Source organism: Homo sapiens, chromosome 11, assembly GCF_000001405.40.
Source record: "Homo sapiens chromosome 11, GRCh38.p14 Primary Assembly".
Lineage (NCBI taxonomy): Eukaryota > Metazoa > Chordata > Mammalia > Primates > Hominidae > Homo > Homo sapiens.
The window spans coordinates 3,458,258-3,486,229 of NC_000011.10; the positions used below are offsets into that span (position 1 = coordinate 3,458,258).

General features: G+C 46.5%; 1 long non-coding RNA gene and 1 pseudogene across 1 annotated transcript, besides 2 other annotated features; both read right to left on the minus strand.

Moving 5' to 3' along the window:
* The window catches only part of ENPP7P15 (ectonucleotide pyrophosphatase/phosphodiesterase 7 pseudogene 15), a 70,864-nt pseudogene that overhangs the window by 28,500 nt on the left and 14,392 nt on the right, over positions 1-27,972 (minus strand).
* Positions 670-1,171: an enhancer, noted in NCBI's record as "H3K27ac hESC enhancer chr11:3480157-3480658 (GRCh37/hg19 assembly coordinates)". NCBI's record gives its function as "activates a minimal SCP1, AML or CMV promoter by ChIP-STARR-seq in naive H9 embryonic stem cells {active_cell/tissue: H9 hESC(naive)}" and the evidence as "EXISTENCE:reporter gene assay evidence [ECO:0000049][PMID:30033119]".
* Positions 1,172-1,671: an enhancer, noted in NCBI's record as "H3K27ac hESC enhancer chr11:3480659-3481158 (GRCh37/hg19 assembly coordinates)". NCBI's record gives its function as "activates a minimal SCP1, AML or CMV promoter by ChIP-STARR-seq in naive H9 embryonic stem cells {active_cell/tissue: H9 hESC(naive)}" and the evidence as "EXISTENCE:reporter gene assay evidence [ECO:0000049][PMID:30033119]".
* Positions 15,314-18,816, minus strand: LOC105376526 (uncharacterized). Its single transcript, NR_169525.1, has 2 exons — positions 18,686-18,816; positions 15,314-18,116 (listed from the first exon to the last, which is right to left on the minus strand). It is a non-coding gene; the product is annotated as an uncharacterized LOC105376526 (long non-coding RNA).

The following is a 27,972-nucleotide window of genomic DNA, read 5'->3' on the forward strand; positions in this document are numbered from 1 at the left end:
TCTTCCAAGTCCTTTCTGTCTGCTCAGTCACCTCTATGCTCATTTTTCTTCTTTCCTCTAAGTAGTGTCATGCGTTTTCTTCCTATTCCTAGTCACTCCTAGTCAACTAACTCCTCTCTTTACCATCTTTTCATCAGAACTTGAAACCTCCTCTCCTTCATGTATTAGTGATCATGTTTCTCCATATTACTGCTAGAAACAAGAATTGAAACCTTGAAAACCTGCATTTGAGAACCAGATCTGCCTCTGCTAGCTATTTGAGAAGTTATTTTTTTCCATTCTTTTTGTTGTTGTCGATACAGGGTGTCACTCTGTCGCCCAGGCTGGAGTGCAGTGGTTCAATCTTGGCTCACTGCAGCCTCAATCTCCTGGGCTCAATCAATCCTTCCACATCAGCCTCCTGAGTAGCTGAGACTACAGGTGTGTGCCACCACAGCTGGCTAATTTTTAATGCTTTTTTTTTTTGTTTACTTATTTTTTTTGTAGAGATGGGGTCTTGCTAGGTTGTGTAGGCTGGTCTCAAACTCATGGGCTCAAGTGATCCTCCTGCCTTGGCCTCTCAGATGAAATGGGAAAAGTTCCGTTGTCCCCTTCGAAGGACATGCGATGCGGGTGTGGTTCATTTATTCAGTGCCCCACTGCTCAAACCTCTAGGGGAGCATGCAGACAGGCAGGGAGCCCCATGGCAGTGTCCAGGGGTGAATGTTTATAGTTGAAGCCCCAGTGGGTGTGTGTTACAGGGTGCTCTTTTAGTTTAGCCGTCTGTAGGTAGCTTGTGTTAGTCGGCTCAATTAGACCCCCGCCTTATTGCAAGGACAGAGGGCTCTTTTTGTCCTGGGGTTCTTGCCTTGGTATACCGGAAGTGGTGCGATCTCAGCTCACTGCAAGCTCCGCCTCCTGGGTTGACGTCATTTTCCTGCCTCAGCCTCCCAAGTAGCTGACACTACAGGCACCCACCACCACGCCTGGCTAATTTTTTTGTATTTTTAGTAGAGATGGGGTTTCACTGTGTTAGCCAGGATGGTCTGGATCTCCTGACCTCGTGATCTGCCCTCCTCAGCCTCCCAAAGTGCTGGAATTACAGGCCTGAGAGTGTAAGGTTTTATTGAGTGGAAGTATCTCTCAGCAGGTGGGGGAGCCAGAAGGGAGATGGTTTACCCCTGGAGTCGGGTGAGTGGCCTGACTCTTCTCCGAATGTCCCAGCCAAACTCTGTGTTGTTCTGCAGTCAGTGGCCTGCGGTGTGTCGGTGCCCATTGGTGCGTTCCTCTTGACGTCCAGCACCCTTGTGTTCCTCCGCTGATGTGCTCCTCTCGAAGTTCAGCTGCCTGTGTGCCTGCCTGCTAGGGTCTCAGGGTTTTTATAGGCACAGAATGGGTGTGTGGCAGCCAGGGTGGTCTTGGGAAATGCAACATTTGGGCAGGAAAACAAAAATACCTGTCCTCACCTAGGTCCGTGGGCACAGGCCCTGGGGTGGAGCCCTAGCCAGGGACCACACCCTCCTCTACCCAGTGCTTCCCTTCCTCACTTCCATATCATTTAAAGGGACCACATTCTTCCCTTCTGAGCACTTCCCTTCTGTATCACAAAGTGTTGGGATTATAGGCATGAGCCACTGGTCCCAGCCAATTCCGTTCTTTTAATGCAAACTAGAAAATAGGTGTTCAGAAAGGCCTGCCCTATCCACCTCAGGGTTGCTATGAAGATCAAATTAGATCATGTGCAACAGAAATTTAGAAAAGATTCCAAAAGCACTGTGCAACGAGAATGTACTTTTAAACTCCACTGAGTGGACTTAAAACTATGTTTTTTTCTTTCTTTCTTTCTTTCTTTTTGGTTGAGACAGAGTTTCACTCTTGTTGCCTAGGCTGGAGTGCAATGATGCCATCTTGGCTTACTGCAACCTCTGCCTCCCAGGTTCAAGTGATCCTCTGTCTCAGCCACCCAAGTAGCTGGGATTACTGGCGCTCTCCACCATGCCTGGCTAATTTCTTTCTTTCTTTTGTTTTTGTCTTTTTAGTAGAGATGGGGTTTCATGGCGTTGGCCAGGCTGGTCTCGAACTCCTGACCTTAGGTGATCCACCCACCTTGGCCTCCCAGAGTGCTGGGATTAAGGCTTGAGCCACCGCACCCAACCTGTGTTTCTTTTTTAAGCAAAAAAACAAATGCCTCTCTCCAGCGCTCACTAAACAAATCCCTCTTTTTTTCCCATAGGATTCTTATCCTTCTTGCCCCAGTGCAAACAATCTATTTTCTTTTGGCCCTTCTGTCCATCTGTGAAAGGGGCAGGCTTTCTAGCTAACCCTTAATCAAATATTTTTGATGACCACAGTCAAGACAGTACTTATTATTTTTTTTGAGACGGAGTTTCGCTCTTGTTGCCCAGGCTGGAGTACAATGGCACAATCTCGGCTCACTGCAACCTCTGCCTCCAGGATTCAAGTGATTCTCTTGCCTCAGCCTCCCAAGTAGCGGGATTACAGGTGCGCAACACCACGCCCAGCTAATTTTTGTATTTTTAGTAGAGATGGGGTTTCTCCATGTTGGTCAGGCTGGTCTCGAACTCCTGACCTCAAGTGATCCGCCTGCCTTGGCCTCCCAAAGTGCTGGAATTACAGGGGTGAGCCACCCAGACTGGTCAAGACAGTGTTTATTAATGCCTGAGATGCATTCAGGAGCACATGAGCTGGCTGTGGCTGTTCTAACAAAGTTCCCCAAATGGGTGGCTCAGGACAACAGAAAGTCATTCTCTCCAGTTCCAGAAGCTTGATATCTGAAACGGCAGGGCCGTGCTCCCTCTGAAGGCTCTAGGGATGAGTCCTTCCTTGCCTCTTCTGGCTTCTGGTGGTTGCTGGCAATCCTTGGCTTGTGGCCACATCATTCCATTCTCTTCCTTCATTCTCATGTGGCCTTCTCCCCTGCGTGTCTCTGTCTCCTCTTCCCATGAGGAATGCCATTATTACTCGATTTAAGGTCCACGCTATTCCAGTATGACCTTTTTGTAATTAGATCTGCAGAGACCCTATTTCCTTTTCTTTTTTTTTTTTGAGATGGAGTCTTGCTCTGTTGCCCAGGCTGGAGTTCAGTGACACAATCTCAGCTCGCTGCAACTCTGCCTCCTGGGTTCAAGTGATTCTTCAGCTTCAGCCTCCAAAGTAGCTGGGATTACAGTTGCACGCCCCCATGCCTAGCTAATTTTTGTGTTTTTAGTAGAGACAGCGTTTTTTCATGCTTGCCAGGCTGGTCTCGAACTCCTGACCTCAAGTGATCCTCCTGCCTCAGCCTCCCAAAGTGCTAAGATTACAAGCATGAGCCACCATGCCCTGCCCCTATTTTCTAATAAGGTCACATTCTGGGATTCCTGGTGAATGTGAATTTTTGGAGGACAGTATTCAGTCTAGCAAAAGGCAGAACATCCTCATTTTCTTCCCTACCTCAGAAATAAAGAAGTTAACTTCAACCCTCTGAGAGAGGCTTCCTGAGCTTCCAACAATCAATTATCCAAATATTAGTCACAGAAGAGCACTAAGGGTTGCGCACAGCATGTGGCCAGCCCATTCTCAGAGTCTGTCAAGTTTAAGGTGAACGCTAATCCTGAATGAGTTTTAAAATGTATTTGGCATTTCCTCGTCATTGGAAAATGTTCTCGCATTGTGATGGCTGGGGCTTCCCTCTCAGGTGTAATCTGCGAAGTCAGATGTGACACAGCCTGGGTGAGGTGGGCCAAGCTGGGAACTGGGTTAGGAGGGAAGCTGGGGAATGATCTCCAAGGTCTCAGATCCCAAACTGGCTTTAGCCTGATTCACCCAGAGGGATCTCATAAAAAATGCACATTCCGGGGCCCACCCCAGACCTAATGAATCAGAATTACCTGGGAAGGAGCCTGGGGAGCTCTGTTTTCAGAAGCAGCCCAGCCAAATCCTATGGTCAGACAGGGCTGGGAAACCGAGCTCAGTCTAGCGCGGTAGATCCCAAACTCGTCTGTGCTTCAAAAAATACAGATGCTGATGTCCAGGCATGGTGGCTCATGCCTATAATCCCAGCAGTTTGGGAGGCTGAGGCGGGAGTATCGCTTGAGCCCAGGAGTTTGAGACCTGCCTGGAGAACGTAGGGAGATAATGTCTCTATAAAAAATTTAAAAATTAGCCAGGCGTTGTGGTGCCCGCCTGTGATCCCAGCTACCGTGGAGGTTGAAGTGGGAGGGTTTCTTGAGCCCAGGAGTTGGAGGCTGTCGTGAGCTATGATTGTGCCACTGTACTCCAGCCTGGGTAACAGAGCGAAGCCCTGTCTCAAAAACAAAACAAAAAACTGATGCTATGTCCCATTCCGGAGGTTGAGGATTAATTGTTCTTGGGTGTGGCCTGGGTTTTGGAAGATTTAAAAAAAATCCCAGGTGACCCTAAAGTGTAGATGAGTTTGGAAACCACACATCGAAGGCACACTTGAATGGGGGAGCAGTGAGGTGGCGTGGGCCAGCCGGCCAGAACCCAGGGGTGGGGCGGTAGGAACCAGCATTGCAGAGGCCATTAAGGCTGGAAAGCATAGTGTCTGGGGCCCATAAAAATGTTTCGACATGAATGCTTTAGACCTAAGACAATTGGCTTCTAAATGTGCAAACTGCAAGGCTGAAATGAATGCTTGTTTAATGCTTTACAACACTGTCAAGTGGTCAGCTGCAACTCCGTTCTGAGGGCGTGATGCCTGAGAGATGCCTGTAATGGCGGTTGATTTTAATGAATTTAATATGGTGTGGAGTGGGGCCTTCAAAAGTAAAGATGTCAGTTCTGAGTTGGTTGCAGGGGTCTGGGCAAAGGTCTTAAAACCCCATGGTGAGCAGATGGCCAATCCTGAACACCCCAATTTTAAAACAGGGCTTTTTTTCCAAGAGACCTTTTGAAAATAGCTCCTATTTTGAGGGGAGGAACCCTGGCAGGAGAGAGCCAGAGTTAAGCCCAGCTGAGAGGGCGTTGGCAGGCAGGGGCCTGCCTGGTCCTCACTGAAGCTTGGTACTCAGGGTGAGCTTCCTAAACCAGTGCAGATTTGCCGGCCCACTGAGCCTCGCGATGAGAACCTGCATTTCAACAAGGTCCTCAGTGCAGCAAAGTTTGAGATATACTGGGCTAGAACACCCAGGGGACACAAAGGTTCTCTGAAAACTAAGGAAAATAGGCAGGGTGTGGTGGCTCATGCCTGTAATCCTTGTATTTTGGGATGCCAAGGCGGGCGGATCACCTAAGGTCAGGAGTTTGAGACCAGCCTGGATCAACATGGTGAAACACCATCTCTACAAAAAATACAAAAATTAGCTGAGTGCGGCCGGGCACAGTGGCTCATGCCTGTAATCCCAGCACTTTGGGAGGCTGAGGCGGGCAGATCACGAGGTCAGGAGATCGAGACCATCCTGGCTAACACGGTGAAACCCTGTCTCTACTAAAAATACAAAAAAATTAGCCGGGCTTGGTGGCAGGTGACTGTAGTCCCAACTACTCGGGAGGCTGAGGGAGGAGAATGGCATGAACCTGGGAGGTGGAGCTTGCGGTGAGCCGAGATTGCACCACTGCACTCCAGCCTGGGCAACAGAGCCAGACTCTGTCTCAAAAAAAAAAAAAAAAAAACAAATTATCTGGGTGAAGCGGCAGGTACCTGTAGTCCCAGCTACTTGGGGGGCTGAGACAGAAGAATAGATTGAACCTGGGAGGCAGAAGCTGCAGTGGCCCGAGATCGCACCAGTGCACTCCAGTCTGGTGGCAGAGTGAGAATCCATCTAAAAAAATAATAAATAAATAAATAAATAAATAAATAATAAAAATAAATACTGGGCTAGAAGACCCAGGAGACCCGAAGATTCTCTCAAAACTAAGGAAAATAATCTAGGTCACAAATATATTCTCTTTCTCCTTCTCCCCATTGCCCCCCTCCACCAGTAATCTTTATAGACTCAAATCGAGTTGATGTTCTATAATCAATTCTAGTCACTTTTATTTATATTTATTTATTTTAGAGATGGGGGTCTCACTATGTTGCTCAGGCTGGTCTGAAATTCCTGGGCTCAAGTGATCCACCCACCTCGGTCTCCCAAAGTGCTGGGATTACAGGCATCAGCCACTGCACCTGGCCGTCACTTTTATTTTTGATGTTCAAATTATAAGCTAATGCCTGTGAGACCATAAATTCTTTTTATGCACTCAATACATTTTCGTGTTTACCTTACATTTTTATTATGGAAAAATTCTGTTTTTTCCACTTGTTTCTTTTTGATAATGAAGCCCTCTGTGCCTATCACCAGCCTCAGCCGCCATCATCTCATTACCAAGCTGGGTTATTTTGAAGCAAATATCTTCTAATATTTAGCCGGTGTTCAAATTTCCCTAACCATCCTAAATGAATGTTTAGAATAGTTGTTTCATTGGAAACAAGGTCAAAAAAATACATTTTAGATTTTTAGGCCAGTCTTGAAAGTAATTGTAAAACCATGTGTGGGGTAGGAGGTGGGACTAGCCTCTCAAGGTGGGGCCTGGATACCAGACCCAATTGAGGACTAGCTAAGACAGATTCCACAACGAATAACACCAGGAGGTGGGAATATTAAGGTCCATTGTGAAGGATGGCTACCACAATTATTTGATCAACTAGTTATCAACCCTGACTGCACCTGAGAGAGATTTGTTTTTGCTTTTTTTTTTTTCAGAGACAGGGTCTTGCTATGTTGCCCAGACTGGACTGAAAATCCTGGGCTCAAGTGATTCTTCTGCCTCAGCCTCCTGAGTAGCTGAGACCGGGTGTGTGCCACTGTGCCCGGCAAGATTTTAAAAAATACGTATGTCCGGACACCACTCTAAACCAACTAAATCAGAATCAGATAGAGTGAAGTCATTAATCATTTTGCTCCTGGGTCTTCATGAAAGTTTTGCTCCTGGGAAACTCCTGGGAATGTGGTAGAGAGAGAGAGAAAGAGATGGGAAAATAAGATTTTAAGAAATGTTGCTATGCATTTTGATAATAATTTTTCTTTGGTGTTTGTCTTGAGGGACGGCGGTAAACATTTCAATTGCCTTTAAGTATGCTTGCATGCTGGAATGATGGTTCTTTGAATGCAGCATCAAACTGGCATTGGGCCACATGGCAGCCAGCATGAGCCTTTATGCCACATTTATAAAACATGAATGTCATGAACCCACTCTCAGGGACCTTACAATTTGGAGGGTTAGGTCAGATCCACAAATCTCTTGTATCTCATCATAAAGGAAACCTGGCGTGTAGCAGGAGATGGCGTGATAACCATAACATATTGCATGATCAATATTTGTATCTTCTTAGCAATATTAAACTTTTTGACTCCCTCCATTATGTCATCAATTTGCTTAATACAGTTTCTTCCTCAGCGTCGGGTTTTAGGCCTGGCATAAGCTGTTTGAAACCCAGGCAGGTACCCCGCCCATCATCTTTGGCCTAGTTAACACCTCCCCTCCCTGCGTGGTGCTTTGGAGAACCTGCTTCTTCCTCATCCCACTGATCCCAAACCCAGGACACCCCACAGCTGCTGACCAGGATTAAACCTAATGGAGATTTAATGCCGTTAAATCACAAGAAATTCTGATTCTCAGGGACTGACATTCATTCACTTAAATACTTGCAAAGTTGGCCAGGTGTGATGGCTCACACCTGTAATCCCAGCACTTTGGGCACCCGAGGTGGGTGGATCACGAGGTCAAGAGTTCGAGACCAGCCTGGCCAACATGGTGAAACCCCGTCTCTACTAAAAATACAAAAATTAACTGGTGTAGCTGTGCGTGCCTTTAATCCCAGCTACTCAGGAGGCTGAGGCAGGGGATTTGCTTGAACATGGGAGGTGGAGGTTGCAGTGAGCCAAGATTATGCCATTGCACTCCAGCTTGGGCAGCAGAGCGAGACTCTGTCTCAAAAAAAAAAAACCCAAAAATTTGCAGAGTGAATTTAGGAAACCATGAAGTCCACAGTTTGATCCAATGCCTTCCTTTTTCTCTTTCTCAAATATTTTGAGCCAGGTACTATCCTAGATTGTCTTGTGATATTTACAATCTAGGAGAAGGCAGGAGAGAGAACTAAGAACAGAGAGCATGTTCTGAGATGTCTGCTGTGTTTGCAGGTACCTTCCCTCAATTTGCCTACTCACTGGCCATGCTGGAAAACAGGTCTTGGCGCCATATTTGTACCGTGGTATTCCCCTCCCTATACTCAATTGGTTGGCCAGAAGCCCAATTGTCATTCTCTCTCTCTCTCTCCCTCTCCCTCTCTCCCTCTCTCCCTCCCTCTCCAAGATATCCAGTAACTGACTGATAAGCTGGTGGTGGGTTCTGCTGGCTGCCATGATGGACCACCAGCAAAAAGGGAAAATTGGTTGTGAGTAAGAGAAGCGGAGATAAGAAAGTCCACAGGGCTGATAAGAAAGACCATGGGCTTCCGGGCGCGGTGGTTCACGCCTGTAATCCCAGCACTTTGAGAGGCCAGGATGGTCGGATCACGAGGTCAGGAGATCGAGACCATCCTGGCTCACACGGTGAAACCCCATCTCTACTAAAAATACAAAAATTAGCCAGGTGTGGTGGCGGGTGCCTGTAGCCTCAGCTAATTGGGAGGCTGAGGCGGGAGAATGGTGTGAACCCCGAGAGGTGGAGCTTGCAGTGAGCTGAGATTGCACCACTGCACTCCAGCCTGGGCGACAGAGTGAGACTGCATCTCACAAAAAAAAAAAAAAAAAAAAAAAAAGACCATGGAATTCTGAGAGCAAGAAAGAGGAATTTTGGTTTCTGTAACTGCAGTTTCCATTCTCTCATGGCCTCTCATATGTTTCTTGTGCCCATGAGTTTTCCTGTTAGAGATAAGGTTTGCTCCTTGTCCTCAAGCTCATGCAAATGGGTTTCTGTTTCTTACAATCATTGTTCCCAGATATGGATGGTTACTGATGCTCTGCTAAATGCTGAAAAAAAGCAGAGTGGAAGCACAGAAAAGCGGGCTTCTCTGAGGGGGTGACGCTAGAGCCCAGTTGGGAGGCAGGAGTAAATGTGCACCATGATATTTTAGGATTAAAACCAAGTATCTCACTGCTTGGGCACATGTAGATAGAGGTGATTTAACAGTAAACTGTCCCAGTGGTACCCATTGTCAGTTATCTCACCACAGGGATTATGTAGCCCTGAGTTTGCTTAGTGCTTATTTATTTTAGGTTGTTGTTTATCCAAACCTCCTAAATGATACGTGTTTGGAACAAGTAACAGCATCGTTCATTGATGTTGTGGACAAACCACTATTTTATTACTCAAGACTGGGTAATTTTTAAAGAAAAAGAGGTTTAATGGGCTCACAGTTCCATGTGGCTGAAGAAGTCCCGAAATCATGGTGGAAGGAAAAAGGCACGTCTTACTTGGTGGCAGACAAGAGTGATGAGAGCTATTTTGGTCATTGTTCACTGGCCATAGAATTTACTTCTATATTTTGAACTAAGGCAAGAGCCAGGCACACAAGACGGTTACAGGTCCGTCTTTTGTTTTTGATGATGATGATGATGATGATGATGATGATGACGATGATGATGAAATGGCTGACATGGTTGATGACTTGCTTTTTCTCATCATCTCAGACCTAGATTTTTGGCTGGACTATTGGCTTGGGATAGATGAAAATCATTCCTTGTATCCCCTTATCTTAAAGTCAAGACTGAACCAGCCTCCAGACTCAAGCCTTCATGGGACTTCAGATACCATGAGGAATGGGTGTCCCTGCAATATTGTCTTGGCTGTCAAAAGTGTTATTGGAGCTGGGCAAGTGGGTCCTCTCCTGCCATTCCATCCTGCTTAGATTTCCCATTCAACACCAATCTTATTTCCTTTTTTTTTTTTGACAGAGTCTCACTCTGTCTTCTAGGCTGGAGTGCAGTGGTGGGATCTCGGCTCACTACAGTCTCCACCTCCCAGGTTTAAGTGATTCTTGTGCCTCAGCCTCCCAAGTAGCTGGGATTGCAGGTGCACACCATCAAGCCTGGCTAATTTTTTTTTTTTTTTTTTTTTTTTTTTTGCATTTTTAGTATAGACAGTGTTTCGCCACGTTGGCCAGGCTGGTCTTGAACTCCTGACCTCAAGTGATCCACCTACCTCGGCCTCCCAAAGTGCTGGGATTACAGGTGTGAGTCACCGTACCTGGCCCCATTTCCTCTTATACCATAAGTCATTGCCTGCAGATGTGTTTTCTCCATTAGTTTGCAAAAGCTTCCTGAGAGTAGGTCTGTGCCTCATTTATTCTGGAATCTCCCTGGCACAAAGCACAGGGCTTTATCCTCAGTAGGCATTCAACAAATGTTTAATATCATTCAACAGCTCCTCTTACCACTGCCCCCAACTTATTTGCAGGTGGCTAAGTACAATCAGAACAAGTAGGTATCACAAGATTTAGTCCAGAGTCAATCTGAGAAGAAATTACTTTAGTGATATGAAAAGAAGCCATGCTATTTAGTCAGAATACTTCTGAGAGTATCCCCTGTCCAAGCATTTGCTGAATTTCTATCTACTAATTTTCAGGTGGAACAGTATGGTTGCGGAGAGTCCATTTGGACATAGATACACTTTCATGCATTCATGTCTTTAACAATAATTTGTGGCCCTACTGTGTTTGTTCACTAACTCCTTTGAACCTACCACATAAGCTATATCTTTATTTTCCTTGTAATTTGGAAGGTCCAATGCTTCATTAAGCTCACATGCCTGAAACTAATGAAGAAAATATCTCGTTAACCAGCTAGTATAAAAGTAGTCACCAAATCAAGTCAATCACCTGCCTTAAATCAGCCCAGTACTCCCATGTTGAGCGGAGAAGCCCATTCTGAATCACAGTCAAGACATTGATGGAAAAACAGCTCCCTCTGGGGATCAAAACCACGCTCGCTCCAAATCCTCCTCCCCAGAGTTCTACTCATTGCTCACCCACTGAACCCAGAACAACCAGAAGTGCTTGAAATGAGGACGGGTAGCTCCTTGTACCAATCGGAATTTAAAACTGTATCAATTCCTGCTATAGAAATGAAGCGTCTCCCCAGGACCAGCATTCCACGAAGGCAGCCCTTTTCTAGATGGAGAAAACAGAACCTGAAGGCACCCGTTTCCCTAAACTGCTCTCGCTCATGTGTAAGTACAAATGAAAAATGCTGAGGCTGCTTCTGTTGGCATTGCTTTTTAATTACGGCCATCAATAAATCATTTTATCCTTGAACAAGACTTGAGAATGACCCCAAGGCAGAGACACAATTCCTTAGGAATTAGGCCAACAGAGAATGGGCTATCTCTCTTCCCACCTCTTCTCTTACTCTGCTGTCAGAAACAGAAACGTTCTCTGTGAGTAGCTGGGAGTAGACGGCCACACTTGAGTTCCATCTGGGGGTTCTGTTAACACAGTTTTACCCCATCCTGCCTTGATGGCCACTGCCACACAAACTGCATCTGTTCTTTCTTCTGCGCCTTTTATTATTTCCTCTTTCTAATGTAGTGAGCTGAATGGTGGCTTTGCACAAGATATATCCAGATCCTTGTGCCTAGAATCTGTGGAGGTGGCATTAGTTGGAAAAAGGTTCTTTGCAGATGTAATTAAGGATCTTGAGATTATCCTGGAGGATTTTAGGTAGGCTGTACATCTGAAGACAAGTGTCCTTATAAGAGGACACTTTTGTCCGGGCACAGTGGCTCATGCCTGTAATCCCAGCACTTTGGGAGGCCGAGGCGGGTGGATCACCTCAGGTCAGGAGTTCGAGACCAGCCTGACCAACATGGAGAAACCCCATCTCTACTAAAAATACAAAATTAGCCGGGCATGGTGGCACATGCCTGCAATCCCAGCTACTGGGGAGGCTGAGGCAAGAGAGTTGCTTGAACCCAAGAGGAGGAAGTGGCAGTGAGCTGAGATCATGTCATTGCACTCCAGCCTGGGCAACAAGAGTGAAACTCCGTCTCAAAAAAAAAAAAAAAAAGGACACTCCTTTTCATGCGCATCCGTGTGAAGAGACCACAAAACAGGCTTTGTGTGAGCAATAAAGCTGTTTATTTCACCTGGGTGCAGGTGGGCTGAGTCCAAAAAGAGTCAGCGAAGGGAGATAGGGGTGGGGCCATTTTATCAGATTTGGGTAGGTAAAGGAAAAAGGGATGTTCTCTGGCAGGCAGGAGTGGGGGTCACAAGGTGCTCAGTAGGGGAGCTTTTGAGCCAGGATGAGCAAGGAGAAGGAATTTCACAAGATAATGTCATCAGTTAAGGCAGGAACAGGCCATTTTCATTTCTTTTGTGGTGGAATGTCATCAGTTAAGGCAGGAATCGGCCATCTGGATGTGTACTTGCAGGTCACAGGGGATATGATGGCTTAGCTTGGGCTGAGAGGCCTGACATTCCTGTCTTCGTACATTAATAAGAAAAATAAAATGAAATAGTAGTGAAGTGTTGGGATGGTGAAAAATTTCTGGGGGTAGTATGGAGAGATAATGGGCGATGTTTCTCAGGGCTGCTGCGAGTGAGATTAGGGGTGGCATGGGAACCTAGAGTAGGAGAGATTAAGCTGAAGGAAGATTTTGTGGTAAGGGGTGATATTGTGGGGTTGTTAGAAGAAACATTTGTCGTGTAGAATTATTGGTGATGGCCTGGATACGGTTTTGTATGAACTGAAAAACTAAACGGAATAAGAGAAGGAGAAAAACAGGTATTAAAGGACGAAGAATTGGGAGGACCTAGGACATCTAATTAGAGAGTGCCTAAGGAGGTTCAGCATAGCCTTGCCAACAAAGATTATTTATTTAAGAGTTAAGAGTGGTGGTTTGGGGATAGCACCAGGAGATATCACCTGTGATGGTTTGGAGAAACAGTGTAAACCACCAGTGAAAACAAGAGCAGGGCATATATGAGTAGTTGAGAACGGTGAATAGGAGTATGACTAGACAGAAGATAGTAGGGATGACAAGTTTTTTGGGGCACAGTCCAAGTTGGTCTTGTGTCTGGAATGAGACTGGGGCCTAATAAAAAGGAGCTTCTATAGGGGAGATCCAATGGGTATCGGGGGACCTGCCCCGATAATCACGTAGGTTCTTTTCTATTTTCCTGTGTCGACTGGCTTGAGAAATAAAAGGACAGAGTACAAAAAAGAGAAATTTTAAAGCTGGGCGTCCGGGGGAGACATCACACTTTGGTAGGATCCGTGATGCCCCACAAGCCACAAAAATCAGCAAGTTTTTATTAGGGAGTTTCAAAAGGGGAGGGAGTATACGAATAGGTGTGGGTGACAGATATCAAGTACTTAACAAGGTAATAGAATATCACAAGGCAAGTGGAGACAGGGCGAGATCACAGGACCACAGGACCGAAGTGAAATTAAAATTGCTAATGAAGTTTTGGCACCATTGTCATTGATAACATCTTATCAGGAGACAGGGTTTTGAGATCAACCGGTCTGACCAAAGTTTATTAGGCGGGAATTTCCTCTTCCTAATAAGCCTGGGAGTGCTATGGGAGACTGGAGTTTATTTCACTTCTGCAATCTCGACCATAAGAGACAGGTACGCCCTGGGGGGGCCAGTTCAGAGACCTATCGCTAGGTGCGCATTCTCTTTCTCAGAGACGTTCCATGCTGAGAAAAGGAATTCAGCGATATTTCTCCCATTTGCTTTTGAAAGAAGAGAAATATGGCTCTGTTCTGCCCGGCTCACCGGCGGTCAGAGTTTAAGGTTATCTCTCTTATTCCCTGAACAATTGCTGTTATCCTGTTCTTTTTTCAGGGTGCCCACATTTCATATTGCTCAAACACACATGCTGTACAATTTGTGTAGTTAACGCAATTATTACAGGTCCTGAGATGATATAAATCCTTCTTGGCTGACAGGATTAAGAGATTAAAGCAAAGACAAGCATAGAAAATCACAAGGATATTGATTGGGGAAGTGATAAGTGTCCATGAAATCTTTACAATTTATGTTTAGAGATTGCAGTAAAGACAGGCATAAGAAATTACAAAAGTATTAATTTGGGGAACTAATAAATGTCCATAAAATCTTCACAATCCACGTTCTTCTGCCATGGCTTCAGCCGGTCCCTCCGTTTGGGGTCCCTGACTTCCCTCAACAAATGGGTTGTACCTTGTAGCATTCCGAGGACAGGCCTGAATTCTGAGAAGGGAAAGTGGTAAAAGTATTGTCCAGTCCTTTTTAAGTTGGTGGCTGAGCTTGGTAAGGTGTGTTTTTAAAAGACCATCAGTCTGTTCTACCTTTACTGAAGACTGAGGACTGTAAGAAATATAAAGGTTTCACTGAATACTAAGAGCCTGAAAAAATGCTTGGCTGACTTGATTAATAAAGGCTGGTCTGCTATCTGACTGTATAGAGGTGGGAAAGCCAAACTGAGGAATTATGTCTGACAGAAGGGAAGAAATGACCGTGGTGGCCTTCTTAGACCCTGTGGAAAGGCCTCTACCTATCCAGTGAAAGTGTCTACCTAGACCAAGAGTTATTTTAGTTTTCTGACTCGGGGCACGTTGAGTAAAGCTAATTTGCCAGTCCTGGGTGGGGGCAAATCCCTGAGCTTGATGTGTAGGGAAGGGAGTGGGCCTGAAGAATCCTTGAGGAGTAGTAGGATAGCAGATGGAACACTGAGAAGTGATTTCCTTGAGGATAGATTTCCACGATGGAAAGGAAATGAGAGGTTCTAAGAGGCGGGCTGGTGGCTTGTTCTATAGCATAGCCTGCTTTTGCTGGTGTGTGGCGATTAGGCCTGGTGGAACCGCCATCAATAAACTAAGTGTGGTCAGGGTGAGGAACAGGGAAGAAGGAAATGTGGGGAAATGGGGTGAATGTCAGGTGGATCAGAGAGATGCAGTCATGAGGGTCAGGTGTGGTATCAGAAATAATGTGGAAGGCCGGATTGAAGTCCAGGCCAGGAACAATGGTAATTGTGGGAAACTCAACAAAGAGTACAGCAGAAGGAGCCGGGGAGCAGAATGTATATGTGGCAGGTGTGAGGAAGAAAATAGATTTCGGAAATTATGAGAGCTGTAGAGAGTGAGTTGAGCATAGTTTGTGATTTTAAGGGCCTTTAAAGTATTAGGGTGGCAGCAGCTGCTACACAGAGACATGACAGCCAACCTAAAACAGTAAGGTCAAGTTGTTTGGACAAAAAGGCTACAGGACGCGATCCTGGTCCTTGTGTAAGAATTTCAACTGCACAGCGCTGCACTTCGGCTGTGTGTAATGAAAAGGGTTGGGATGAGTCACGGAGAGCTAGTGTAGCAGGACGAGTTGCAGACAAAACTCCTCAGACACCGGATTAAAGAAGGAAGAGGTTTTTTTATTCGGCCGGGAGCGTCGGTAGACTCGTGTCTTAAGAGCCGAGCTCCCTGAAAAAGAAATTCCTAGCACTTTTAAGGGCTTACAACTCTAAAGGGTCTACGTGAAAAAGTCATAATAGATCAAGTAAGCCTGAGGAACGTGACTGGGGGCTACATACTTCAGCTAACAGAACAAAAAGTTTTTACAGTGCTTTCTCATACAATGTCTGGGATTTACAGATAACACCTGTAGTTTTGGTCAGGGGTTAATATTATTGTCATTTTAACCACCAGGGCCAGGTGGTGGCGCCAAGGTCATCTGGCTATTTATTTTACTTCTGTTTTTTCCAACTTTTTGCTTTCTCCCTTTTTTGCTGTCTTACAAACTAGGGAAAAGGGGAGGTTGGGGAGAAACTGGGAAGGACAACAGGAGACGTGGTGGTCTCACACCATATTTCCCCCCTTTGAGCATTTTCACTTTTTAGTGGGAGTTCTCACTCTCATCTTTACTTTTTGAGTCTATTGGTGAGATAGAGCGATACTGATTCATATAACACACGTGTGCTGAAGTTTTCTGATGAACCAAAGTAGCTACAAAACCTTTTATCATTTGAAAAAGCAAGGGTAATACACAGGGGAGCAGCAAGCAAGCTCCTATCACTAGCAATACACCTACAATGAGGGTTTTAAATCCTGCTATAGCTGGAAACCATTTTTCAAATAAAGACTCAGGATTAAACTCGTGCCAAACCTGTACAGGCACATGTGCCACCTTTGTCATGTCCCTGACTATGTTTTTAACCACCTGTCCTTGATCATTTATTTGTAGGCAGCAATTGGTTAAGTTAAATTTTCCACAAACTCCTCCTTCAGCTACTAGCAAGTAGTCTAAGGCCAGTCTATTCTGATAGATAGCATTCCTCATTTGGGTTTCTTGCCAAGCTAAAACAGTCAAAGCTCTGCCAGTTTCATTAGTAATTATTTCTAAGATGGCCTGCAACCGTATGATCCAATTGAGCATGTAGATGGGGGTTCGGTATCCCCATGAGCCGTCTTGTGCCCATGTGGCAGGCCCATAATACTGAATGATCCTTTCAGGGGGCCACTCATTCTCCTTCCAGTTTCCTATAACTATGCCTTTCTTTTCTCGGGCGGCGTAGACAGGGAAACCTAGGAGCTCACCCGTTTTTATGGGTAATAAGAAAAAGGATGGCTTAATAGTGTCAATAACACAACTGCCTGCCCATTTATTAGGTAACCGAATGTAGGCTCTGTGCCTACATATCTAGTATAGTCCAGCGGGAACCGTCCAGTCCTGATGAGATTCTGGATGAGCCTAAGCAGTTTTTAATTTAGAAAATTTACTAAATGGATTCTTTTCAGTGTGGTTTAGGCCCTACTAAGTAATTGTCTGTATTGTGCTGTTATACAACTTCTGTCCTATACAATTAAGCTTTCCTACAGGGATGATAAAGTCTTTCCCTTCTCTAGCTCTACAGTATTGTCTAATAATTGAGGTTTTTAGGACCTAGAAGTTGCTAGCTTCGGCCTTCTGAACTGGAATTATATCAGGAGCTGGATCAGTAGGCACCAACTCTTGGGCTTCCCAAGGCCATCTGTCTCCGATAGTGGTTCCTCCGCGTACATAACAAGAAGTAACAGTTATGTAAGTAAGAAAATTACATTTTCTGCTAATTGGAGAAACAAATTTTTTGTCTTTTTCAGAAGTTCTGGTGCTGGCACATTCAGCTCCTCATAAAAGGTTTGAAATACTGGTTTGGGAGAGCACTTGTGGACCTCCCCTCTAATTACAATGGCAACTTGAGGGTTTAACCCTGTCCTATTGATCCCCAGGGTTACACGTTCTCCCTTTTTCCAACGGGGATCTAGGGGATTGGTAATTATTAGTTCTAGTGGGTTACAGTGACTGGCAGCACAGGAGGGGTTGGCTTCCCCCTTCTGAAGATAAACCGGTTCCTTTTTGTTCTTTTTTTAAGTAGCCTAAATAACACATGGCCAATAGGCACAATTTTTACAAACCCCTGACTCATGACAAACATATTTATTTTCTACTCTTTAGCTCCTTTCTCAGTTAAGAGAACCACATCCTATTTCTAGCTTTTTACTATTAATGGCTGCACAAGCATCAAATCTTAAAGTTATTTGCTTGGGAATTTCTTTTTCTTCTGTTCTAGTTATTATTTTACTTGTATCACCTAGGAAAAGGCCAGTTCTTATTCTTATTTCAAAAACGGTGGTTGCGGAGGGCTCAGATGGGTTATAACACGCATCAGGTCGGTCATTTCTCGGGCTACATACCTTGCACTGAGTGGCATTATACAAACAAGTTTCTTTTATTGTTTCCACACATTCATAATAACTATAGAACAGAAAGATTGTTTTAATTTGCTGTCCTACTTCGGTGACCTGATGAATACACTGGGAACAGTCCCCAGTTTGAGTAAGATCAGTTGAAGCCCTTACTGTATAAGTCCAAAATTTAAGAAAAATGAATCTCACGATGAGCTTCCTCAGGCTTCGGCCGTGCGTGGACCAGTCAGCTTCCGGGTGTGACTGGAGCAGGGCTTGTCGTCTTCTTCAGGGTCACTCTGAAAGGGTTGTCTGGGCTTGGTCTTGCCTCCCAGGTTTCACGCGCTGCAGGTTTTACATGGCTGTGGTGGATCCAGGCTGGGATTCCTTCTACCTTCACAGCGGTGGGAGGGCTCAGAACGACAGTCTGGGGTCCTTTCCACAGTGGACACAAAGAGGCTACGTTCCAGTTCTTGATCCACACTCGATCACCTGGGGAGAAAGGGTGAACTGGGGAGAATAAGCTAACAGGCCATTTACTCGGGCTGAGATTGTTTGTGTAATTTTTCCTAAGGCCTGTAGCTGTCGCTGTAACTCAATTTCACCTAACTCTCAGGGAGTGCCTGGAAGTCCCCGCAATATAGGAGGGGGCCTATGATATAATATTTCATAAGGGGAATATCCTGCTCTTTTAGAAGTGGTACATCTAATTTTAAATAATACCATAGGGAGAGCCTGTATCCATTTTAATCCTGTTTCCTGACATACTTTCCCTAAACTATTTTTGATAGTTTGATTCATTCGCTCCACCTTTCCGGAACTCTGAGGCCAGTAGGCAGCATGCAGTTTCCATGTGATCCGTAATATCTTTGCCGCCTTCTGTACTAAGTCAGCCACAAATGCCGGCCTGTTATCTGAGCCGATCCGTAAGGGCAGTTCAAATCTAGGAAGAAGATCTCGAAGAAGCACACGAGTTACTTCACGAGCTTTCTCAGTTCGTGTTGGATAAGCCTCCACCTACCCAGAGTAGGTACGCCCAAGAACTAGTAAATACTTGTTACCTCTACACTTTGACATCTCTGTGAAGTCCACCTGGAGATCTTCAAAGGGGGCTGCTCCATAAGCTTGTATGCCGGGTGGAACGGCTGGACATTGCCTAGCATTATGCTGTGGGCAGGTAACACACCACTGCGTCACCGTTTTGGCAAGAGCTGACAAATGCGAGATGTAGAAATACCGGCCTAACAACTTTTCAATTGACTCCTGACCTCGATGGGTGGTTTCATGCACAGCCAGTACAACTGCAGCTCCTAGCAGCTGTGGCGCATCTTCTCTCCCTTCCGGTAACCGAATCCATCCTTCCTCCATCACTTGTCCTCTCTCTGCCTGGAGGAAGTCCTTTTCTTCTTTAGAATAAGTAGGTACAAGATCAGGTGCTTGAGGGAGCATGGGGGCTGTGACTGATGCCCGGAAGGGGGCAGACGCTGCTTTTCGAGCCTCTAAGTCAGCGGGGGAATTCCCTAAACCCAGCAAGGTGGAAGCTCGCTGCTGTCCCCTGCAATGCATAACTGCCACCTTGTGGGGTCTCCATATGGCTTTTAACAATTGCAAGATTTCTTGTTGATATTTTATGTCTTTTCCCCCAGAGTTCAATAGGCCCTTTTCTTTATATAATGCTCCACGCACTTGAAGGGTTGAAAAGGCATATTGAGAGTCAGTGTAAATGTTGACATTCTTAGCTTCACTGAGTTCTCAGGCCCGAATGAAAGCAATGACTTCAGCTTTCTGAGCTGAAGTGCCCTGGGGCAATGATCTGGCTTCAGCAACAGTGTCCAGAGTTACCACCGCATATCTTGCACATCTCTCTCCTTGTGGGTTGATGAAGCTGCTCCCAGCCACGTATAGTTCCTAGTCTACTGGTGCCTAAGGCTGGTCCTGGAGGTTAGGTCTGCTAGAGTAAACTGAGCCCAACACTTCTACACAGTCATGCTCGACAGGGCTCTCTGATACTGGGAGCAAGGTAGCGGGGTTCAGCGTGCTACAAACTTCAGTGGTTATACGGGGATTTTCACAGAGCAAACTTTAGGACTTAGTGAGTCTAGCATTCATTAGCCAATGATGTCCTTTAGTATTCATTAAAGTCACCACAGCACGGGAGGCCTTTATGTTCAGGTTTTGCCCAAGAGTCAGCTTATCTGCTTCTTGTACTAGCAGGGCAGTTGCTGCCAAGGCCCTCAAACACGGGGGCCATCCTTTAGAAACCCCGTCTAGTTGTTTAGAGAGGAAGGCCACCGGCCTCAGCCAGGGCCCCACAGTTTGGGTTAAAACTCCAACTGCTATCTTTTCTCTCTCTGACACATACGATGGAAAAGGCTTTGTTAGATCGAGTAGCTCCAGGGCTGGGGCTGACATAAGTTTTTCCTTTAACTCATGAAAGGCTTGCTGTTGCTGGGATCCCCATTCAAAACGTTCCCTGTCCCCCCCCCCACCCCTTTGTGACCTCATACAAAGGCTTGGCTTATACTGCAAAGTTTGGGATCTTCAGTCTGCTAAACCCAACAGCCCATAAGAATTCTCTCACCTGCCTTCTTGTCTTAGGCTCCGGTAGATTTCAAATGACCTGCTTTCTTTCTGATCCTAGGCTGCTCTCCCCCTTTTGGATAGTAAATCCTAAGTAATGTACCTGCTGTCGTCAGATCTAAGCTTTTTTCTTGGACATCTTATACCCACAGTCCTCCAGGTGCCGGAGTAGAGCATCTGTTCCCTTGGCGCACCTGACTGCCGTGGGGTGTCCCAGCAAAAGATCATCAATGTACTGGAGCAACACGCAGTCTACGTCTCTGGTGGGAAACTTCTGGAGGTCTCGAGGCAATGCCTCCCCGAAGATGGTGGGGGAGTTCTTGAACCCTTGGGGAAGCCCGGTCCAAGTGTACTGAGTAGTGACACCTGACTCCGGATCTTCCCACTGAAAGGCAAACAGCTTCTGGCTCTCAGGGGCTAATCTGATGCTGAAGAAAGCATCTTTCAGGTCCAAGCAGGTGAAGCAGCTGTCCTCAGCTGGCAGCAACCCCAGCAATGTGTACGGGTTAGGTACTGCTGGATGTAAAGTCACTGTAGCTTGATTAACCAAGCGCAAATCCTGTACCGGCCAGTAGTCCTTGGTCTTAGGCTTGGGAACAGGCAGGAGGGGAGTGTTCCATGGAGACTGACAAGGAACTCTGATTCCAAAAGTTCTTAGGTGCTTGAGATGGACCTGGATACCTTCAAGAGTTTCTCTGGGGACCGGCTCCTGTTTTTGCCTAACCGGCTGGGCCCTAGGCTTAACTGGCCAATCCTGGAGGGTTGTCTTCTGCCCATGACTTTAGCAGCAAAGAGCCATGCTCTGTAAAAGAGATAGTGGCTCTCAGTTTGCTAAGCAAGTCCCTTCCCAACAAGCACAAGGGACAGTCAGGTGTGTACAAAAACTGATGAATCACTTTATGTCCTCCTACAGCACAAGTCCGGGGCAAGCAGAAAGCTTGCTTTGCTGAAACTCCTGTGGCTCCAATGATGTCAATAATCTTTTTGGATAAGGGGGTGACCGGGGCGGTTACTACCGAATGTTTAGCTCCAGTATCTACAAGAAAATCAATGTCTTTACCCCTAACTGTCATCCTGACCATAGGCTCTTTAGGGGTCCTTGAGCCCAGTCCCCCTCAGTCCAATAACCCCTCTGCCAGGTTGAGCAGGGTGCCTTCATCCTTGTCCGGGGCCTCCTGCTCTGAGTCACCTTGTTTTCTTTTTAGCTGAGGGCATTTGTTTTTCCAATGTCCTATTTCTTTACAATAAGCACACTGATTACGCTGCAAGCTCTGACAGCCAGGCTGAGTTTCCTTCCCAGGGCCCCCCTTCCCTTGCCTATTTTGGGGGACCCCTCTGATTGCTGCCGCTAACAGGTCGGTGTTTCGCTGGGCCTGACGTTCATTGTCTCTGTAGTTTTCCTTACGGCTTACTGCATCCCTGTTTACAAACGCCTGGTTAGCTATTTCTAATAACTGTGATGTGTTCATCCCTGCAAACTCAGCCTGTTTCTGCAGTTTTCTTCTAATGTCTTCTGCGCTTTGACTAACTAAAGCCATGTTAATCATGCCTTGATTTTCAGGGCTATCGGGATCAAAGGGAGTATACATACCATAGGCCTCACACAGACTCTCCTACAATTGTGCTGGACTTTCTTCTTTTCTCTGAATGACCTCAGAGACTTTGTTAACATTTGTGGCCTTCTGGGCTCCCCTCTTTAATCCTTCCAAGAGAGCTTCCCTGTCTCTGTTTAGCCTTTGCATATCCTCTCTTTCATGTGGGTCCCACTGGGGGTCAGTTCCTGGTAACTGGGTCCTTACATACTCTTGGGGGTTTTGGTAATCAGCTGGTGCATGTTCCTCTAGCCACTTAGTTGCCGCTTGGAGCACTCTCCACCTTTCATCTGTGTTAAAGAGGAACATGAGCAACTGGTGGCAATCAGCCCAGGTGGGGTTATGGGTCTGGATAATAGTTTGGAGCAAATCAATCAGAGCTTGTGGCTTTTCGGTACAGGATGGGGTATTGTCTTTCCAGTTGAGAAAGTGGGCAGAGGTGAAGGGCTGGTACCCAAAAACACGCCTCCCCACCACGTGACCATCCTCATATATCCCAGTATACCGCTGCTCTCTCAGGGGCATTTGTGTCCCCGTTTTGGGTCTTAAACGAGCTGCCAAGGGAGGGGTTTCTCCCGAGTCCTCACCTCCTCTCTTGTCTACTCTGGGTGGCCTAGGGATATGTTTGTCTTGTGGAGGCACAAGCACTGTGGACTCAAAAGTGGGGAGCCTGCCTCCCTGGTAAGGAGAGGGCACCACTGAGATCACTGGTGCCATCTCCTGCAATGGATCTTCTGATGCTGGGTCGAACAGAACTTCAGGAGTTGATTTCCCTCGGCGGGTGGAGCGGGATCCTTCCTTGGCTATCTGTCACTTTGCTACTAGCGCTGCTGCTGCCTGCCCTCTTAGCCACTGTGGGGGGTTTAGCATCAGCTGTAACCAAGTGTCTATGTGTGGAAACTGGTCTGAGTGTCCTGACTTACCAGTTATCTTGTGCCATACCTTAGAAACAAGGGACCTGTCCAGGCTTCCTTCTGATGGCCATCCTACTTCTAATGTTGGCCAATCTATTTCACACAAAGTTCTAAGTTCCCCAAAGTCTCCATTAAATCCTCTCTTAAAATTTTTCAACATAGTTCCTAGGGGAGTAGGCTTACTTTGTATCTGACCCACGTTTCCTCGAGACAAAACACCAAGCTCACACCACACGCACACCACAGAACAAAGAATGGGTAAAAAGGGCACACACACACTTTTTCAGTTTTCACCAAACCAGAATCAAAACCAAAATCAGAGTATCCAGAAATCCATGCCAGGTCAAACCAAAACCAAAGTATCAAGCAATTCAAGTCAAGTCAAAAACAAAAACCAAAGTGCCAGTACAGGCACGCCGTGGGTGATCAGGCCACGCTTCCACTCAAATGGAGTGGGCAAGTTCCAAAGACCAGTCTTACCAAGTTTCAAATGTCCGGACTCCAAGTGCCTCTTCCTTCCCTGTGTTCAGCCACTGTGTTGATCCTCCATGGGGGCCTACCACACACTGCTCTGACGAGGCATTCCTCCGGGGCAATTTCTTACCCGGGAGAGCTCTCAGGATCCGCGTCGCTCAAGCTGGCTGGAGTCCCCCGCAGGGATGCTCCACAGGGCAGGCCTAAGCCACCTAACGGGCTGCCTCGACTTTCCGTCAATTACCTCGCTTCCCGGTCAGGGAACCAAGACTAGGGTGGGGGCAGTCTTTAAAGCTGTCTTCAAGGAACAGAAAGAGGAGTGGGGAAAGGATTTAGGATCTATGGGGTCAGCTAGGTTTCCTTTTGTGAGTTTATATAATGGTTTTATTAGGATGGCAAAACCAGATATCTAAAGATGAAAGTATCCAACCATGCCCAGGAAGGAAAGGAGTTGTTGTTTTGTAGAAGGGGTTGGGGTTTGAGAGATTAGTCACATACGATCGGCAGGGAGAGCATGTGTGTTTTTATGAGAATTATGCGGAGATAGGTAACAGAGAAGGAAGAAATTTGGGCTTGACTGAAGTAATGGGGGCTGTCTGTGAAGCTTTGCAGCAGTACAGCCCAGGTAATTTGCTGAGCCTGATGGGTGTCAGGTTCAGTCCAAGTGAAAGTGAAGAGTGGCTGGGATGAAGGGTGCAAAGGAATAGTAAAGAAAGCATGTTTGAGATCCAGAACAGAATAATGGGTTGTGGAGGGAGGAATTGAGGATAGGAGAGTATATGTGTTTGGCACCTTGGGGTGGATAGGCAAAACAATTTGGTTGATAAGTCATAGATCCTGAACTAACTTGTAAGGCTTGTCTGGTTTTAGGACAGGTAAGATGGGGGAATTGTAAGGAGAGTTTATAGGCTTTAAAAGGCCATGCTGTAGCAGGTGAGTGATAACAGGCTTTAATCCTTTCAAAGCATGCTGTGGGATGAGATATTGGCATTGAGCTGGGTAAGGATGATTAGGTTTTAATGAGATGGTAAGAGGTGCATGATAGGTCGCCAAGGAGGGAGTAGAGGTATCTTCTACTTGTGGGTTAAGGTGGGTGGCAATGAGATGTAGCTGTAATCCGGGAATAGTCAGGGAAGCAGATAATTTAGTTGAAGTGTCTCGGCCTAATAAGGGAACTGGGCAGGTGGGGATAATGAAAAAGGAGTGCTTAAAAGAGTATTGTCTATGTTGGCACCACAGTTGGGGAGTTTTAAGAGGTTTAGAAGCCTGGCTGTCAATACCCACAACAGTTATGGAGGCAAGGGAAACAGGCCCTTGAAAAGAAGGTAATGTGGAGTGGGTAGCCTCTGTATCGATTAAGAAGGGGATGGAATTACGCTCCACAGTGAGAGTAACCTAGAGCGTCTGTGATGGTCCTGTAGGCTTCCGAGGCGTTCGATCGGGAAGTGTCGGTCTGCAGCTGCTAAGCCAAGAAGATCTGGGAAGGAGTCAGTCAGGGAGCCTTGGGCTGGAGATCCAGGGGCTCTGGGAGTGGCTGCCAGGTGAGTTGAACAGTCCGATTTCTAGTGGGGTCCCACACAGATGGGACATGGCTTAGGAGGAATCCCGTGTTGCAGGCATTCCTTGGCCTGGTGGCCAGATTTCTGGCACTTGTAGCAAGCTCCTGAGAGAGGCGGTTCTGGAGGAATGCCTGGCCACTGCGCTTTAGGTGTTTGGAAGCTCTTGTGTGTTGGAGATGTGGCTGGGGTTTGTCTCACAGTGGAGGCAAGGAATTGCAACTGAGAAATATGTTGCTACTTGGCTGCCTCTACTCTATTATTGTACACCTTGAAGGCGAGGTTAATTAAGTCCTGTTGTGGGGTTTCAGGGCCGGAATTTAATTTTTGGAGTTTTATTTAATGTCGGGGGCAGATTGGGTAATAAAATGTATACTGAGAATAAGATGGTCTTTTGAACTTTTAGGGTCTAGGGCTGTAAAGCATCTCAGGGTTGCTGCCAAACGAGCCATGAACTGGGCTGGATTTTTATATTTGATGAAAAAGAGCCTAAACCTTATCTGATTTGGGATAAAGAAAAAGGAGCATTAACCTTGACTATGCCTTTAGCTCCAGCCACCTTTTTAAGAGTAAATTGCTGGGCAGGATGGGGAGGGCCAGTCACGGAATGAAACTGTAAGCCGGACCCAGTGTAAGGAGGGGAGGTGATAAAAGGATTATAGGGTAGAGGAGCAGAGGCTGAGGAAGAATTGGGACATAGCTCAGCCTGGCAAGGAGGGGAGAGGTCAGATGGGTCTGTAGAAAAGGAAGATTAGAAAGTCTCAGCGACACTTGGGGTTGGGACTGAGGGGACAGGTGGGAGGGAAAGAAAGAAGATTTGGGATGAGTTGCATTGGGAACAGAGACTAGGGAGGGACCGATGTGTAAAAGAATGCCTGGACGTCAGGCACCTCAGACCATTTGCCCATTTATGACAAGAATTATCTAGATCTTGTAGGATGGAAAAATTGAAAGTGCCATTTTCTGGCTATTTGGAACCACTGTTGAGTTTGTATTGGGGTCAAGTGGCATTGTAGAAGAAAATAAGGCATTTAGGTTTTAGGTCAGGTGTGAGTTGAAGAGGTTTTAGGTTTTGAAGAACACAGGCTAACGGAGAAGAAAGGGGAATGGAGGGTGGAAGCTTGCCCATAGTGAAGGAGGCAAGCCTAGAGAAAAGAGAGAGTAGAGACACAAAGAGTAGGGGTGGGGTGGTCTTGCCTTCCAGAAAAGCAGGAAATGGGTTGGGGCACATAAATAAAGGGTTGGAGTGCAGAGATAGGAGGTCACGTTGTGGAAATAAGGGATCAGGGCACACAGATAAGAGGGCGGGGCATGGAAATAACGGATCGAGGTGCAGAGATAAGAGGGGGTGGGGTTCCTGTGCCTCCCCCAGAAAAGCAGGACTTGCTGCTAAGGGTGAAGGACCAAGGCAGGCGTCCCTGCATGGTCTGACACCTCTGAAACCTGGGTGAATAATCAGAGGCGTCCCTGCAATGATTAAACGCCAAGGGAAGGCTGCCTTCCCTAGTCCATGACCGGCACCAGAGTTTTGGGTCCACGGATAAAACGTGTCTCCTTGATCTCTACCAGAAAATGAAAGGAATTGAAATTAAGAGAAGGGAGAGATTGAAGTGTGGTGCCAAGACTGAAAGGAGAAAGAGGTTGAAGGATAGTAAGGGAGGTTGGAGAAGAGAGTAAAAAGAAGCTGCTTCCCAGATTTGAAATTGGTGAGATGTTTCTTGGGCTGGTCAGTCTGAGGACCTGAGGTCGTAGGTGGATCTTTCTCGCAGAGCAAAGAGCAGGTGGACAGGGGATTGATCTCCCAAGGGAGGTCCCCCAATCCGAGTCACGGCACCAAATTTCACATGCATCTGTGTGAAGAGACCACCAAACAGGCTTTGTGTGAGCAATAAAGCTGTTTATTTCACCTGGGTTCAGGTGGGCTGAGTCCAAAAAGACAGTCAGTGATGGGAGATGGGGTGTGGCCATTTTATAGGATTTGTGTAGGTAAAGGAAAATGGGGGGTTGTTCTCTGGCAGGCAGGAGTGGGGGTCACAAGGTGCTCAGTAGGGGAGCTTTTGAGCCAGGATGAGCCAGGAGAAGGAATTTCACAAGATAATGTCATCAGTTAAGGCAGGAACTGGCCATCTGGATGTGTACGTGCAGGTCACAGGGGATATGATGGCTTAGCTTGGGCTCAGAGGCCTGACACTCTTCCTCCAGAGGAGGAGACCCAGACAGAAGAGGAGGAGGCAAGGTGATCACAGAGGCAGAGATTGTCTCATGCAGCCACAAGTTGAGGAATTCCAGGAGCCTCTATAAGCTGGAAGACGCAAGGAATGGATTCTCCCCTAGAACCTCTGAAGGAGCATGCTCCTGCTGACCTTTGATTGATTTTGGACTTCTGGCCTCCAGACAATTTTTTTTTTTTCTTTTAGACAGAGCCTTGCTCTGTTGCCCAGTCTGGAGTGCAGTGGCACGATCTCAGTTCACTGCAACCTCCACCTCCCAGGCTCAAGCCATTCTCTTGCTTCAGCCTCCCAAGAAGTGGGGACTACAGGTGCCTGCCACCATGCATGGCTAATTTTTGTATTTTTAGTAGAGACGAGGTTTTGCCATATTGGCCAGGCTGGTCTCGAATTCCTGGCCTCAAGTGATCCACCCACCTCAGCTTCCCAAAGTCCTGAGATTATTTAGGTGTGAGCCACGGCACCCGGCCCAGACATTGTTTGAAGCCACCCATTTCATGGTTCTTTGCTGCAGTGGTTGTGGAATATGAATGCACTCGTGCTGTTGGTTAGACTTTGCTGCCCTTTGGTCTGTTATTCCCTGGCAGTTCTACAAGGCCTGGAGCTGATACGAAAAACCTCCCTTCTTTCCCAAATGGTCCCCGGCTTCCCCGATCACTGAAGGCCCTGCAGTCAGGAACAGTCAGGACTTTGCACCCAGTTGTTGTGGTTGTTTGGCCGACACTTCCTCTTGTGTGATTCATGGACCCGCAGCATTGCGTTACCTGGGAGCTTTTGGAATTGAAGACTCTCAGGGCTCACCCGGAAGGACCTCCTGGGCCAGAATCTGCATTTTAACAAGATGCCCAGGTGATTTGCATACACGTTCAGATCTGAGAAGCGCTAGTAGGAGAGGCTTTAAGGTGGTAATTAGATCTTTTCTCCACCTGCAAGAATCTTAGTTTCTTCATGTTAAATCTATTAACTGTGGCAATGGCATGGGGGGTTATAAAACAAAACAAAAT